We start from the raw sequence: 18,370 nt of genomic DNA, 5'->3' as shown, positions 1-18,370 counted from the left end.
ATTTTAAAGGATTTTCTTATATAAACCACTCTTTGAAACTTGCCCACTCTTTAGAGATAATCAGTGTTTTAAAATGCAAAAGTATGCATTGTATGGATATCTGTTCTAGTAGTCTTCCTGTTTAGATTATAGATTTCTCAACTCCAGTACATAACTTCTCATACCATGATCCATTGTACATTAGTCCCTTAAGAGTTCTGTGGTTACACAAGCAGTGAAACACTGTGTGATTCAGTTTCTCTTGAGAACCCTCAATTCCTGTTACCCTTTTAAAAGCTCTGAAAAGTCCTATAGAAATGCATAGAACCAGAGAATACTTGTACCTGAGTAATATCTAATAAAATCACATGTTATGCTTTGGGAAATGGTACACTAATATATATTGACATTGAATAATTTAAAATCCATTTTTAAAGTACTATACCTATAGTCATCTCTTGAAAATCATGTATTAATGCATTTTTGAAGTCATCTAATTATTTTCCCATACACTTTAAAAGATTAATAAGGAACCTTAAAAGGAATATTTCTTCAATCTCTCAATCTCTTTTCTTCCTCTATAAGTGGAATGTGAAATTTCGATATTTGCAGGTGAAATTATGCTTTCTTCTTATTATTCAAATGCTGTCTCCTTAAGAGAAATGGTTACATGGAATTCTGTAATTGAGATGCAGAGGTGCTTTCTTCATTTATGCTTCTACGTATGTACACATTCTGACTGGTATAGGAGTTGATTTGTGAATCCACTTGCCATTTAGATTTCAGTAATTGTATATGTCTGGTTACATAGAAATTTCTTTTGGAGAGAGGACTGCCCTTATGTGGAAAAGACCATGGAAGGGCACCCTGTTCTCTCTCTAATACCTAAAACAATGGCCCATGATCGGTGCTCAATCTATATTTGCTGAATGAATTAAATAAAATTGGCATTTAATGATGGGTGAAACAGGAGCCGACTACTTGGTGGCTTTAAGTACCAGGGATAAAATGAATGAAACTGAATTGAGATACTGCTGACCACATGCTTTTCAGCCCCTTCCAAGCTTACTTGCTTCTCCACATTACAATACAATTGCCCTTATCAAGGTCATTGATGACCTTCAGTTGTTAAATCTTTTTTTTTTTAATTTTATTATTATTATACTTTAAGTTTTAGGGTACATGTGCACAATGTGCAGGTTTGTTACATATGTATACATGTGCCATGCTGGTGTGCTGCACCCATTAACTCGTCATTTAGCATTAGGTATATCTCCTAATGCTATCCCTCCCCCATCCCCCAACCCCACAACAGTCCCCAGAGTGTGATGTTCCCCTTCCTGTGTCCATGTGTTCTCATTGTTCAATTCCCGCCTGTGAGTGAGAACATGCAGTGTTTGGTTTTTTGTCCCTGCGATAGTTTGCTGAGAATGATGATTTCCAGTTTCATCCATGTCCCTACAAAGGACATGAACTCATCATTTTTTATGGCTGCATAGTATTCTATGGTGTGTATGTGCCACATTTTCTTAATCCAGTCTATTGTTGTTGGACAATTGGGTTGGTTCCAAGTGTTTGCTATTGTGAATAGTGCCGCAATAAACATATGTGTGCATGTGTCTTTATAGCAGCATGATTTATAATCCTTTGGGTATGTACCCAGTAATGGGATGGCTGGGTCAAATGGTATTTCTAGTTCTAGATCCCTGAGGAATCGCCACACTGACTTCCACAATGGTTGAACTAGTTTACAGTCTCACCAACAGAGTAAAAGTGTTTCTATTTCTCCACATCCTCTCCAGCACCTGTTGTTTCCTGAGTTTTTAAGGATTGCCATTCTAACTGGTGTGAGATGGTATCTCATTGTGGTTTTGATTTGCATTTCTCTGATGGCCAGTGATGATGAGCATTTTTTCATGTGTCTTTTGGCTACATAAATGTCTTCTTTCGAGAAGTGTCTGTTCATATCCTTCGCCCACTTTTTGATGGGGTTGTTTGTTTTTTTCTTGTAAATTTGTTTGAGTTCATTGCGGATTCTGGATATTAGCCCTCTGTCAGATGAGTAGATTGCAAAGATTTTCTCCCATTCTGTAGGTTGTCTGTTCACTCTGATGGTAGTTTCTTTTGCTGTGCAGAAGCTCTTTGGTTTTATTAGATCCCATTTGTCAATTTTGGCTTTTGTTGCCATTGCTTTTGGTGTTTTAGACATGAAGTCCTTGCCCATGCTTATGTCCTGAATGGTATTGCCCAGGTTTTCTTCTAGGGTTTTTATGGTTTTAGGTCTAACATTTAAGTCTTTAATCCATCTTGAATTAATTTTTGCATAAGGTGTAAGGAAGGGATCCAGTTTCAGCTTTCTACATATGGCTAGCCGGTTTTCCCAGCACCATTTATTAAATAGGGAATCCTTTCCCCATTGCTTGTTTTTGCCAGGTTTGTCAAAGATCAGATGGTTGTAGATATGCGGCATTATTTCTGAGGGCTCTGTTCTGTTCCGTTGGTCTATATCTTTGTTTTGGTGCCAGTACCATGCTGTTTTGGTTACTGTAGCCTTGTAGTATAGTTTGAAGTCAGGTAGTGTGATGCCTCCAGCTTTGTTCTTTTGGCTTAGGATTGACTTGCCAATGTGGGCTCTTTTTTGGTTCCATATGAACTTTAAAGTAGTTTTTTCCAATTCTGTGAAGAAAGTCATCGGTAGCTTGATGGTGATGGCATTGAATCTATAAATTACCTTGGGCAGTATGGCCATTTTCACGATATTGATTCTTCCTACCCATGAGCATGGAATGTTCTTCCATTTGTTTGTATCCTCTTTTATTTCATTTTTATTTCATTCTTAACTGATCACTTGTCTCTCCCCCACTAGAATGTAAGCTTCATGTGGGCGGGGACCTGGTTTGTTTGCATCCTGTTCTCTGTCTAATACCTGGAACAGTGGCCCATGATAGGTGCTCAATCTATATTTGTTGAATGAATTAAAGATTAGCATTGAATGATCAGTGAGACAGGAGCTGACTACTTGGTGGCTTTAAGTACACAGGGAAAAAATGAATGAAACTGAATTGAGATGCTGATGTGGCATTCACACAGCTTTCTTATTTGTTTTGTTGTGTTTTTTCCTCTGGTGAAAAACTTTCGAGACTTAACGTACATGTGTGTGGTTACTCGGTTTTTCTTGTTTATAAATTTTTATCGGTGACTTCAAATCAAATCTTTTATAATGCCATTTCTGCTAAAATTGATTTCAGTCCATATTTATTTCCCTGACCTCTGTTGTCAGGGCAAGTGACTCATATATGTACTGACTATGTATATCTTTTTGGTATGCTTCAAAAACCATTATAGCACTGGAAATTTTGGTAATGTTATCATGAGCAACGGCCACAGAATATAAAATTCCTTTTTATAACAGTAGACTTTGGGGTTTTTTTTTTAAACTCAAGTAGGCTAAAAGAATTATTTTATTTTATTTTTGAGTTGGAGTCTTGCTCTGTCGCCCAGGCTGGAGTGCAGTGGTGCGATCTCGGCTCACTGCAACCTCTGCCTTCCAGGTTCAAGCAATTCTCCTGCCTCAGCCTCCTGAGTAGCTGGGACTGCAGCCACACGCCACCACGCCCGGCTAATTTTTGTATTTTTTAGTAGAGACAGGGTTTCTTCATATTGGCCACGGTGGTCTCGAACTCCTGACCTTGTGATCTGCCTGTCTTGGCCTCCCAAAGTGTTGAGATTACAGGCGTGAGCCACCGTGCCTGGCCTAGAATAAATTTTAAAACACTTTTTCCCTTTCGTTCCTGTGAAAATCAGGTTTCATAATTGTAGTATCAACTAGTACAATGGTTCCCAAAGTGTATTCCCCAGGCTAGCAGCATTCACATCAACTGAGAACTTGTTAGAAATGCCAGCTTTTGGTGCCCACTCCAGTTCTACAGAATTAAGAACTTTAGGGGTGGGACCTAGCTCTCTGTGTTGCAACAGGCACTCCGGGTGATTCTGATGCACATTAAAAATGTGAGAACCACTGTTCTACCATACAGAAATAAAGAATTTAAATGCTAAGTAAAGATGTGCCGATCCTTACAAAATAATCATAGGATGGTATAAATGATTCCAGTATGCTGTACATTGTCAACATACATAGTAATGAAAATACTACACATGAAGGAGAAAACTCAGTAAGTTATTACAAGAAGTATTACTGACTTTTAACATTTATTCTTGCATTTCCTCCCCAGTAGCTGTAGCAATGGCTGAATAAATGCTTTTTGTTTTTTACTTTTTGTTATAGCAGATGAAGTTAGAAGAAATAAGTATGTCTTTTGAATATAAGTGAAAGCAAATGTTTTATTAGTGATATTCTTTAGTGTTTATTACTTTATATTTAACCTATTCTTTTTTATTCTTATGTAGTAAGGGGAGGTTTAATATCAGGTCACTTGAATTCCTTTCTGAAGTACTGTTTTCCTTTTGGTGTCTTCCACAAAATAGACATGTCATCTTTCTGGTGTATCCTCTGCCTTCAGTCTGATGAATATTCGGATATTCAGTCTTGAGAATATCTGTTTTGAAACTCATATAAGTAAATAAGTAGTGCATGCGGTCCAGGCACAGATTTTACATATATATATGCACTTTGTTGAAGATTCCAAATAATGTAGCTACTTCTTTGCAGGGTATTGGTGGCCCATGTAAAAACTCCATAATTTGAAACTGTTTAAGGCAGAGGTTCTTGGTTTCAAGCAACAGAAACCAACTCTGGCCTATTTAAGACAAAGAATTTATTGAAAGATGTTTGTGACTCACAGAATTTCCAGGAAGTCTGGAGAATCAAGCTGGAAACAGGCAGGCACAAGTGATGTCAGGCAGCAGCCAGACCATGCACAAAACCGTAGCACAGAGATAGTGCAGTACAGACACCACACCACTGCAGCCATCCCAAAGACTGTCTGCCATTGCTACCCCTGGGTACTGATCTTGTGTCCTGGCCCTACTGCCACTGTAAACATGACATGTCTCTTACAGTGTGTCACCATTTCCATTGCTTTGTGCCCCTAGCTCCTTGTTTAGAGCAAGTCCACCTGGTTATTTGAGTCCTAAGTTGATTTCCTTTAGCTTGTTTGTAAGGGAGGTTGGAAAAGCCAGTACCTGGCTTAAAAATATTTGTCCCTGGTTTCCAAATGCACCTCTTGTGCTCTCAAACTTTTCTAAGATATTAAAAAGTTGCTCATTCTGGCTGCCTTTAGTTATTTCCTCAGTCTAGTTCAATCAGACATATAATGCCCTCACTACACTGAGCAAGCTTCCAATAAGATCACCTCTTATTATTGTATCTATTTCACAGGTTCCAGAATCATCTTACATGGCCCATCTCAGTCATGGGCCCTGATTGCAACTCCGTTTTCTCATGGTGTATTTTTACCTCTCTGGCCTCAGGACTTTGTAGGTTGTCTCTCTGGCTAGAACATTGCCCTACCTCCTCCTACCCATAAGGCCTTTACCACTATCCCAGCCCAAATCAAAATCCAAACTTCTTACAATAGTCTGTAACAGTGGCTTTTAAGCTTTTAAAACTATCATCCACCGTGAGAAAATTAGGCGTACATTTCATACTCTGGTAAGTACACACATACATACCCAGGCATTCACACACAAATCATTTATGTGTATATTCTCTTACGATAAAAACAAAATTTCTAAAAATGATTCTTATTCTCATTAAGTGTAATAAGCACTGATGTTTTCTAGTCTAGTCTAGTCTCTTTTTTAAATGCTGTTGTGACCTATTAAAACTAATTTCATGGCCCACTACTGGATCATGGCCTGCAGTTAAGAAAATTGTTTACACTGCATGCATGTTTAGTTTTTACCTTCCTTAACCTCATTTCTTTCTAACAGCTTTCTCATTTGTTATATCTAAAATACTTCAGACTTCTAATTTCCTTCTAAATATCAGGATCTTTCCTGTGTTGTGTGCTATGTTATGAGTTTTTGTACTGTCTTCCTAAAATTTTATTCTTCTTGTTTTCCATAGGGCTGACTCCTTTTCATCTTTTAGTTTCAATCTAAATAAAAAATCTGGCTTTCAGGGATAACATTCCTTAACTATCCTATTTGGTATGCTCTCTCTTATTTATTCTACTTTTATATTGTATTTTTTTTTTGCTTTCATAGGAATGAGGAAAACTTCTAATTATCTTATTTTCTTTCTAATTTTTGCCCACTTTCTCCTTGTGTTACGTAGCCCTAATAATAGTAGAGGTCATGTCTGTGTTGTTCCTTTTATTCTAGGTGCTAGAATAGATGCTTATTAAATATTTGTTAAAAGAATGTATGCAGAGTAGCCTAAAAGCAATAAAATGTTGTACCCATGTGAGATAATGGTCACCATATCTATATTCTATCCTTATAATACAATTTATGGTATGAGATTTACATGCTATTTTATTTCCTTAATGTATCACTTTCATGCCATTGGTTGATTTTATAGTGACAAGCTTATTGGTTGGAGGACATTCAACATCTTGGTAAAATACAAAATAAAGAATTTAGAGATACTGAGTATCTGGAATTGTGGATAAGACACCTGAAGATAAAGAAAACAGAAAAAAACTGGTTATAGCTAAGATAAATTGCCATAATCATCCTAGTGAATAAGTAAGTAGGGAATATTCAGGGTCACCCTTAGCCAAGGTGTATGCTAAGGCATGATGGGAAACAAATGGCACTAAATTACTGAATTCAATGAATCAGAGTCCTGACATTTACATAGAACCTTATAATAGAGTCAGCTATGAAGAAGCTTCTGTCGGCAAGTATACACATATCGATGTGTTCATATTCATTACTGGATACATATGCAGAACAATGGAAAGATTTCTCTTCTGCTATAGAAATAATATGACATTATTTTCATGACTTAGTCTATGGTAATCAATACAGAACAAACAAAATGAACACAGCAGTATCATTTAAATGTGCACAGAATTGCTTGGGGATTTATCTATTTCAGGAATGTACAGTCCAGAAATAGTTAGCTGCTTTCAATCTGATATGCCAAAAATTGAGTCGTTTTCTTGAACATATGTTTAGGAAATTTCTGGAGAAAATAGTGTGCAAGCAGTAACTCATATGAAGAATATATTCAGTATACAATATAAAAGATGAGCTGATCTGAGATATCAGAATTAGAGAGTCTATTTCTAGTACCTAAAAAAGAACTGTTTATTTTTGCCGTTGGTGCTTCTTTTTTAAAATAAATTTTTAAGTATTTATTCAGGAGCTTAAAGTATTTAGACATGGAAAAAACCTTTAGGAGTTACCTGTTACTTGTGCATGACTCTGGCTTTGGCTCCAGGGACTCGAACAAGTGGGTTCATGCTTGCCTTCTTACCTTTAAGGGACAATGGCTAAGAATATTATTATTATTATTTTATTATTATTATTTTTTGAGATGGAGTTTCGCTCTGTTGCCCAGGCTGGAGTGCAGTGGTGTGACCTCGGCTCACTGCAACCTCCACCTCCCAGGTTCAAGCGATTCTCCTGCCTCAGCTTCAGTAGCTGGGATTACAGGTGCGTGCCACCATGCCTGGCTAATTTTTTGTATTTTTTTAGTAAAGACAAATTTCACCGTGTTTGCCAGGCTGGTCTCGAACTCCTGACCTCAGGTGATCCACCCATCTCAGCCTCCCAAAGTGCTGGGATTATGGGCATGAACCACCGCGCCTGGCCCAGCTAAGGATATTATAATCAGCCTGTATTACTCAACCCAGTGTTTGAAAGTCTCCCCCATTTCCAACTGCAAGTGTATTTTTGTCAAAGCCAAATTCAGACAATTTATCACACTTCATTCCTTAATATAATTCTGTGCTTTTTCTCCCTAAAAATTGCTACTCTTTACCCCAGTGTGTGTTTATAGAGTAGCCAAGGCTTCTCCACAGTCGCACGATGGAGTGATGGGGATAGTTTATGGATTAGGCACACTCTTTAGTGACTTTATCCCTTCTCCTCTTCTTTGGTCATTTTTTAGCTTATGAACTGACTTTGAGGGCTATATAGATATTTCATATATCTGTGATGCATTTTTTTGCATTACTGTTCTTTACTGAGTATAATGATACAAAGAGGGCAGGCCCAAAAGCTGCAGTGATCCCTTGGGATGTTTTTCTTATGATGAGGTAGCAACTTCCACGATCATAGAACATCTAAAATTCCAATCCGAAGTGGTAAGTATCTTCTGAAATGGCCCTGCCTTTTCCATGGCTTCTTTACAATTGCAAGTACATCATCTACAGGCCTCATTCTGGGTAATAATGGAGAATAGTGTAGTGCTAGAAAACAGTAAAGTAAGCTGTAAGGAAATCTCAAATAGCAACAGGAAGTTCATATGGTCCCTATTCCACTTGTTAAGCTGTTCCTTAGTAGTTGTTAACATATATCATTGACAGATATAAAAAGTTATGTTCTTTTTTTTTGACATAATGGTTGAGAATATACATTAAGTGTAGATTCCAGATCCATGATTCATCAGCTCTGTGCTTTAGACTAAGTAATTCAACCAATCCAAACTTCAGTTATTCACCTTGTATGCGAAATAGGAATTATTAATATAACAGCACCTACCTCATGGAGTTTATGAAAATTTAATGAGCTAATGCCTAAAAAGCACATAGAATAGTGTCTGCTGCATAGTAAATGGTCAGTAAATATTAGCTATATTTAGCTATTATTATGTTTTATTTGAGAAATCTACTTACTAGTAGGGGGCATCCTGAATCATCCTGCTTGGATGATGAAAAGGAAAGGGGGCACCATGTCCCGCATCTCTCAAAGTATTTATTGTTCTATATCTATTTGTACAGCTTATTTGACTATACTTAAATATCAACATTAGATTGTGCTATTTTAAGCACAGTTAAGTGGGGCCACTGTCATATTCGGTAGACAAAAATTAAAATGACCTCATTTCTCATTTTATCTAAATTTGAAACCAACATGGCTGTTTTATTTTATTAAATAAACATATAAATAAAGAAACAAATGAGATTTCCAGTTGGGAAATATAGCAGTGATGAGAAGAATGGTACGTGTATTTTAAGTGACATTTTTCTATCTGGAAAAAAAAAAAAAAAAACATTTTCTATGAATTTGTTTCTATCATCACCCCAGACTAAACTTTTTACCTGGATTTGCTGTGGCTCTTTCTGGAAAGGGCTCTTTACCCAGTGTGGAATACTTTCAGAACACTCTTATTACTTTACTAAAATATATATTGTAAATTACAAGTATAATTTATAATGGATTAAAAGTATTTGTTTTAAATTAATCAAAAATCTTGGAGTAGTTTAGCATAATTTCTCATGTTTTAACAAAATAAAAGATTTGTGATACAGAAATTTATGAAACTGGCTATTACGTCTACCATACTTTTAAATATTTTTATTTGCTGACTGATTAGTGTGCCAGCTATGTACCAGCAACTGTGTTAAGTGTTGAGAGTACTGATGGGAGTAGGAAGACTTGAGGAAATTAACAACACATTGAGAGCTATGTTTCAGGAATTCAAAGGATGTTGGGAAAGTACAGAACATAAAACATAACAGTCCTGTGAGGAGTGGCCATAGAGGGCAAAGGATGCAGAAAATAATTTTGAGATAAGGTGCTTCCGTTGAGAGCTTAAGAATGATTAGGACAAAGGCAGGGAGGTGGAATAAAATGAAAGGGCCTTTCAGGCAGAGGAATCCTTATGTAGTGAAGCAGAAAGGCAAGAGAAAATGGCACTTTGTCAGGACCAGAAAAATGGTCAATATGATGTGAGTGAAGAGAGCATTTGATAACATGGCTAATACCAAGTCTCGAGATTATGTAGGCACGACCCCCTGATGATTTTTGTAAAGTGGACAAGAGTTTTGAACTTTTTCTGAAGGCAAGAGAGAATCATGGAAAGGTTTTTAAGCGGTTTTATTTTTATATCTGCGTTACAGAAAATTCTCCTGGCAGCAAAGTTGGAGATAGATTGCAAGAGCAACTGATTAGAGAAGGGAAAATCCATTAGAAGGCAATTACAGGTTGATCATCCCTAATGCAAAATCCAAAATCTGAAATGCTCCAAAATTTGAAAGTTTTTGAGCAGCAACATAAGATAGTGACATCTTTGCTTTCTCATGGTTCAATATATACTAACTTGGTGTCATGCACAAAATTATTTAAAATATTTTATAAAATTACCTTCACGCTATGTGTATAAGGTGTATATGAAACATAATTGAATTTCATATTTAGATATGGGTCCTATCCCCAAGATCTCTCATTTTATATATGAAAATATTCCAAAATCTGAAAAAATCCAAAATCCAAAACACTTGTGGTCCCAAGCATTGTTGATAAGGTATTCTCAGCCTGTATAATAGAGAACATTATGAATTAAGGTAGTGTGTATGATAATGGAAAAGAGAATTGGAAAATTATTTAGAAGATAACATTGACAGGACTCAGCAACTCATGTCAGTCAGAGGGAAGAGTAAGCAATAATTTCCAAAGCTGAGGATGGTGGTGCTGCCCTCTACTGAGAAGCGGAAGTGTGGAAGAAAGAACAAGAGAGGAATGGAATCTCATCATACGTTAAATTTTACACAGCCTCCCATATTTCATGGGAGTTCTGAGTAGTGATGACCACTTGGCTGTTAGAAACCCAGATTTAATATTCTTAAAGTATAACTAGGAAGTAAAGAGGGCAGTGATACCAACTTATGTAAGATTGTTTACTAAGAGCATGTATATGGTAATACAGTACTTTATGTGGTAAAGGTCTTTGATCTAAATAAAAATAAGAGCTCAAAATGGAAAACTCAGAAAAATATTAATATTTGATGTGCTAGAAAAATTGGAGATTCCAAAAGGCTCTTGAGAGGTTATGGTAAAAAGCAAAAAGTGGAAAAGGAGAGCCATAGAAACTAAGGGACAAAAAAGGTTAAGACATCCAGGCTTTAAGATATATATAAGACAGATCTGAAAACATATACACCAAACTCTCAGGAATGGCTAGCTTTAGGAGGTGGCGTTGAAGATAATAGCAAAAGAACTGGGAATTTCAATTTTGTATTTGAATGTTTAAAACCTGTTCTATATATATTATAACTTCTTGAGAACTTAGTATTTTAAAATAAAAAGTTAAAAAGATCCTCTTAAAATTGAAGTTATAGTCAATTGAAAATAAAAATAGATGAATCAAATAAGCTTAATCAGAACAGAAAAGGGAGGGAAGGGTAACATGGAGTGGCCAACAGTGTCATACTATAGATAGGTCACAAGAGATAAGGACTGACAGGAGTCTTTTAGCTTGGTATTTAGCTGTGGTCACAAGTGACCTTATTAAAAGCAGTTCTAATGAAAGGCTAAGGGCAGAAGCTTGACTGTAGTTGTTGGAAAGTGGAAAGTGAGGACATGAAGAGTTAGAATAGTCATCTTATAAAGGAGGAGCTTAAGTGTGAAGGGAAAGAGAGATATGGGGAGGGACTTAGGGTCCAGGGTGAGTAAACTATTTGCTTAAGATCCTTATGGAGGTAAGAAAGAGATCCATGATAGCTCCTTTAGTCATGGAGGTTTATTGGATGTCACCCAGGAATGTTAAGTAGTCTGAGTATTAGCTAAGTAGGAGCTAAGTCAACTACTCACACTACTCCTACTTATTCCAGGTTCCAGCTTTTCTAAAACTGGGATTTGTAGTACATTTTATAAGCAATTGAAGTTGTTCAGCAAGATTTCTTGGAGGGAAGAGACCTGAGCTTATTTATATGCTGGAGATAGGCACCAGGAGAGGGCAAAATCTCTGTAGTACAGAAACTAGTTGAGGTACTTATTTAAATGAGTGGCCCCTTAATTTGAAAAGTAAATCGAACTGTTTCTGGGAATGAAGTTTTGTACAAAATGCGAAACTTGCCATGTTGCAAAGGCTAAGCCAACCAATATATTTCAATTACATTCATATTAGAAAAAAATTAATAAGATGACATAAATAAGCTAGTAAATTTCTTTTTTCTTCTTCTTCTAAAGCCGAACAACAACGTATCCTTACACAGAGACACAGATGTACAGCCAAAATACTGGAGGGAATTACTTTGATACTCAAGGGAGTTCCGCCCAGGTGACTACCGTGGTCTCATCCCACAGTATGGTGGGCACTGGTGGGATTCAGATGGGCGTCACAGGAGGACAACTCATCAGCAGCTCTGGAGGAACCTATCTGATCGGCAACTCAATGGAGAATTCTGGTCACTCAGTGACACACACAACTCGGGCCTCCCCAGCGACAGTAAGTATTTGAATTTTTAGTAGTTTAGTTTAGCTTTTAATAGTCTCTAATGAACATTTCCTTTGATAGAGGGAAAAGAACAACACAGATGGGACTGGGGCAAGAATGTGTTGGATAGTTTTAGTATTGAGAGTTTGCAGAATGTAGTATATGTAGTATTATGCAGAATGTTACTGATACATATGCCCTCTAATCAGGTGAATTAGAGTTTTTAATTTTACTGGCAATTAGAAAGGTGAGTTTTACTCATTAAACTGCTGGCTTTAATAAGCTGTCTTCCATCAGTAAAATATCTTAAATTTATATAGAAAGAACTCACTTTCATATTATGCTTACTTTATGAGATAAAAGCCAGGCAGTAATACAGAGAATAAAATATAATTTAGCTTGGAATTTTCACATCTTTCAACAATAATATTTATGCTAGCTCATGCCCAGAGAAGTTATATTATGTAAGCCAGCATCCCAAACCTTAGACATGTAAGTTTTGCCATTTTCTCATGCCACCTGTATTATTATTAACTTAATATGTTTTCCAAGTTGACTCACTTTTAAAATAGAAAATCGTGTGTAATTTTTTCCTAATACATATTGAAATCAATATTTAAATAGTAAAGTTAAAAATGTTTACCCATGTGCCATATGTAAATTCGTGTTGCATTCCACCAGAGAGATACTTTAGAAAGCATTACTATAGGTGATTCAGATGAAAAATATTTGTGTTGGCTCTGATCATAGATATGAGCAAACAGTATCTTAGGAGCATACATATTTAAGTTAAATTTAATAGATTATTTTAACACAGTGGGTTATTGTTTGGTGGTTTTTTGTTTTTTTTTTTTTTTTTTTTTGAGATGAAGTCTTACTCTGTGGCCCAGGCTGGAGTGCAATAGTGCAATCTCAGCTCACTGCAACCTCTGCCTTCTGGGTTCAAGTGATTCTCCTGCCTCAGCCTCCCAGGTAGCTGGGACTACAGCCACATGCCACCATGCCTGGCTAATTTTTGTATTTTTTAGTAGAGATGGAGTTTCACCATGTTGGCCAGGCTGGTCTCGAACTCCTGACCTTCGGTAACCCACCCTCCTCAGCCTCCCAAAGTGCTGGGATTACAGGCATGTGAGCCACTGAGCCCGGCCAACACAATGTATTTTAGCGTACTGAAATGATGTAATAGAAATAGTCATAGAAAATTTTGCAGAATTTGATATCATCAAACTTTGTAGCCTGAACTTCTGCTTTTCACCTCTACTAAGCATATGAGAATGGTCATTTAGAACCACATAGCTAAAGCAGCAATGAAATAGATTTTCTAGGTATTACATATAAAAGGGTGCTGGGGATTTGAATTAAGGAGATGTATCCCATTTTATCATTTCATCATATAGTTTGTTCTTGCAATGAAATAGAGATAGAAATAAATTGGGGAGAAAATAGTAATATGAGAAGCTTTATATTTCTCATTTTATGGATTTTCTCCAGGATATTATATGTGCTTGGTAAGTACTTTGTATATACTTTGTGTATTTGTAGTAATTTCATGTGTTCCTACTTTCATCATTCAGTGCCTTTTCCCTAATTTATTTTTAAAAAACTCTTTATTTTAATTCGCTATTTGTTACTAACATCAGAACAGATGACTAGCTGTTCTGAGCGGAGAGTTCCTTTTTGTAATTTTTTTCTTTGTAATTTTGAAGCATTTCTTATGTGTATTTGTTGTCTCTTCCTTTTAATAATATTAAATACAGTATTTTAAACCTTTTAGTCACATCAGTATATTTATGTAGATTACAAGGGGATTGCTACTAATAAACCATAGCTTTTCTGGATCTCAGTTCCCCTATCAATAAAATAAGGGGTTAGTTAGACTAAATGATTTCCTAGTTTCCTCCTAGCTTTAGCACCATTAGATTTACAAAGGAATTATAAAATATTCTAAATGTAAAAGTAACTATAGCTTCAACATAAAAAGAAAAGAGATAGAAAATGGTGGCAGTAGTATATAGCACTCCTCCTATAGGCCACCTAGAAAATTATTTTCAGTGAAAGGAAAATACCACTTATCAAGGCCTTAGGAAAACTGAAAAACGGGGCAAAATTTACCTTTCCCACTTTCATTTCATCCACCCTGTCTTATCCTAACCTACCATCCTTCGAAACCCCATTCCTTTCCTACCTCACCTCTTCTAGGTATTCCTACTTGCCTTCATGCTGATTCTGATACCTGTTTAACATCCTCATCAACTGGGTGTGGGTTTACTAAATTTACTTGCTCTCTCACTAAATTAACCAAATTGTTTAATCCAGCTCATGTAAATACAGTTGCATTGCTAACCTTTATAGTTTGAGGATTCTTCTTCTATTTTTTTTTTGATAAGGTATACACTTTCTATGTAGGTATGTATGTATGAAAGGTGGCATTATTCCTTAAGTTATCCATTATACAAATTTGATGTGTGATTTTTATTATACTAACTGGTAAATTAAACAGATAACTGAATTATAAAAACTGGGAATAGTTGAAAACTGTTACAAAACACCAATTTATAATATCAGTTGTACATATTAATTTTATACTAAAAATATTCATATTTGAGGTTGTTTTGTTAAGGATAAAAATTCTAAGGTGATTTTTTTTTGTTTTGCGTTTTTTTAAATAAGAAAATTTTCCTTTTTAACAAAAGGAGTATAAAAATTAAAAAAAAAGTAACTTTTGTATGGAAAAATCACAAAGTGATCTCACCAAGCCCATATTGATTGATAGTGCGGTACTTGTCTAAATATACTTCTGCTAGTGTTTATTGTATTACCTTGAATTGATTATTGAAAAGTATATTTAATTTAAATCCCCGTCTCAATTGTACTGAAGATCTGCTTGACTCACAGTGAGGTTGTGATTCTCAGTTTACAGTTTCACATCTGTTACTGTAGTAAAATTAACAAAGTTGAAGTGCCGTGAAACCTATTTAAGATTTCATATCATGTGCCTCTTGCCAAATGTGAGAAATGCTAACCATAGATTTTTGATTGTTTTCACTCCTAAAAATCAAGATTTTTTTTTTTAGGAGATGCCATGCCATTAAATGGGATTTAATTGAGTTTATGTATATTTTTCTTTTACTGTAGAATCAGAGAAAAGATTGTATATGAACACAATCTTTAAAGATTTGTTGGTCAAGACTCAAGCCATTTCTTTCCAAACATTGAGCCTATCTGTACCATATAAGTTCAGTTTTTCTCACTGTTCTTTAGTGTTCGACATATAACCTATAGAATGACTGATGCAGCCTACTGTGCAATAGTAGCATATACTGTGGCCGAAATTCTTGACTGAGAAATAGTCCGTTGGGTCACTCCTTAGGGGGCTATCAGTAAGTGTAATGCATAGTCAATTAATTCAGTTGATGTAAAACTAGCTATGTTTGGGTACTTGGAAACAGCACAAAGCAAACACTGTTACCCAGTTCCTATGGCAAAGTTTTCTGCTCCAGTCCTTAGAATAGTTGCCTTGATGTGATAATTGCCAGTGATAGACTGGATAAAGAAAATATGGTACATATACACCATGGAATACTATGCACCCGTAACAAAGAACGAGATCATGTCCTTTGCAGGAACATGGATGGTGCTGGAGGCCATTTTCCTTAGCAAACTAATGCAGGAACAGAAAACCAAATACTGCATGTTCTCACTTGTAAGTGGAAGCTAAATGATGAGAATACATGGACACATAGAGGGGAACAGCACACACTGGGCTTTAGAGGAGGGTAGAGGGTGGCAGGAGGGAGAGGATCAGGAAAAATAATGAATAATAGGCTTAATACCTAGGTGATGAAATAATTGGTACAATAAATCCCCATGCCACACATTTACTTATGTAACAAACCTGCCCATCCTGCACAAATACCCCTGAACTTAAAATAAAAGTTTATAAAGTCAGCATTTGTTAATTTGGTAACAAATTAAATTTTATATGATGAATATATTATATCAACTACTAATACTCAAATTTAGTCAAAATACTATTTCTCCTTTGATTTACTGTTTCCTTTTATATGGTCCATGTGTGTATAATTATATATATGTATATAGATATATACATCTATGCTTTTACTTATATAAATACATACACATACATTTAAAAGGCATTTCCTGCGGATAATATTAAATAGCAATTTTCAGAAAGATGTTATAACATTTTTATTGAATCATCACTGGATATGGGTTCAGCTAAGTTGCGACCTGAATATGTTAGGGATCTGTTTATTGTTAATATTTCAGTAGCACATGGACATTAAGGTAGAAGAATTGGCTACAGTCATAATTCTGAACTCATTATACATCTGTCTTCTAACTATATCAACATAATATTTCCCTCTGCTTTTATTCATTTGAAATTCTAAGTATTTTCATGATTATTTTTCTATATAATCACATCATTTATAGAATTTTAGAGTTTTGGAACCTGAACATACTTTTCACTTGAAGATTAAAAATTTGTGAATGTAGTTAGTGATTTTTTTTGGTGCTCATCACAACATAATTTATCTTATACCAGAGTATGCAATAATTACCAACTTGCTTTAAAAAGCCTTATTTACTCACTCTTACATAAAATAATATTTTTATTCTTATAATTAGATGGTTATGTATGAGTTTTTTAAATTCTTCTTAATACTTAAGATTACATTAATCATTTTTGAGACCGTGATATGAAAGTTAATTTTTACACCTTTATGTATATACATTTAAATGGGCTGTTGCTAACATTAGATCCCAGCCAAGAGGCACAAGAAAAATATCTTGAAATTAATATTGTTCATATTCCCACCTCTTTTGATTAATGTAAAATATTATAATTTATTTAATTATTTGGAGGAAAATTTGAAAGTCCATCTGCTGCTATATAAGTAAAAGTTTGGCCTAGTTTATATAATTAATAGAAAGTTAAGAATTCATTTAAGAATTATGAGTGCTTTTATTTATTTATTCTTGGTTTGGCATGTTTATGAATTTGGTGTAAGGGAATGCTTTTTCTAAGAGTATAAATATGTTTAGCTCTTCAAAATAATTTTACCTTCTTATTCTTTTGCTGCTACGTTACCAATGGCCATGTGTTTGATTTCAAAATTTTAATTTATTTATACGAATTAGTTATACATTCTTAAGTTGCACATTCAAAAGATATAAGAAAGTACATGAGTCTCTCTCACCCGTTTCCCAATTCTCATCCTTAGAGGCAACCAGTATTACCAAGTTCTCTCTTATTTTTTTATTTATTGATTTTTGATTTTTTTTGAGATGGAGTCTCACTCTGCCACCCAGGCTGGAGTGCAGTGGCGTGATCTCGGCTCACTGCAACCTCCACCTCCCGTGTTCAAGCGATTCTCCCACCTCAGCCTTCCTTGTAGCTGGGATTACAGGTGTCCGCCACCATGCTTGGCTAATTTTTTGTATTTTTAGTAGAGACGGTGTTTCACCATGTTTGCCACACTGGTCTCAAACTCCTGACCTCAGGTGATCTGCCCGCCTCAGCCTCCCAAAGTGCTGGGATTACAGGCATGAGCCACCACTCCCTGCCACCAAGTTTTTTAAGTATTATTCTAACAATATTCTAGCAGAATATTCAAGCAGAATATATATTTTTTCACTCCCTCTCTCTTTTTTTTTTTTTTACACAAATGGTAAGAAAAATGCCGCATCTTGCTTTTTTTCACCTAACAATATGTCTTGGAGACTTTTTGTTTCATATTAGCACACGAAGAACTCCCTTATATTTAAGGGAAATGATTATATTAGAAGGAGCTGAATTGCCCATCTATCTTACCAGAGGAAAAAATGTTGAAATAATATTGGATTATTGGTTATGACTACATCGAGACAGAAAAGCAATATAGTTACATGAGATGAACGCTTCTGTTTAATTATCATATATGAAGATATGCTTAGAAGAAATTTTAAGTTAGAAGTATGCATAAATTATGCATAAATCACAGTTCTTATTTTATGTGACAAAACAGTAATTTCTATTTAAAATAATTTACTAAGTTTTACAGTTAGCCTCAATATTTTTTAAAAAAAGACTCTGTC

General features: G+C 35.3%; 1 protein-coding gene across 31 annotated transcripts in view; it reads left to right on the top strand.

Annotated features, from left to right (window-relative positions):
* RFX3 (regulatory factor X3) overlaps nt 1–18,370 on the top strand; it is a 307,705-nt gene that overhangs the window by 183,460 nt on the left and 105,875 nt on the right. For all 31 annotated transcript variants that reach the window (XM_047423701.1, XM_047423699.1, NM_001282116.2 and 28 more), the window contains one exon: nt 12,025–12,283. In XM_047423701.1, coding sequence (XP_047279657.1) covers nt 12,025–12,283 — 259 coding nt within the window. The remainder of the gene's footprint in view (nt 1–12,024; nt 12,284–18,370) is intronic.

The sequence above is a fragment of the Homo sapiens genome, chromosome 9 (assembly GCF_000001405.40).
Source record: "Homo sapiens chromosome 9, GRCh38.p14 Primary Assembly".
Lineage (NCBI taxonomy): Eukaryota > Metazoa > Chordata > Mammalia > Primates > Hominidae > Homo > Homo sapiens.
Note: the sequence above shows the minus strand (reverse complement) of the source record. Positions and strands in the feature narration are given on the sequence as shown.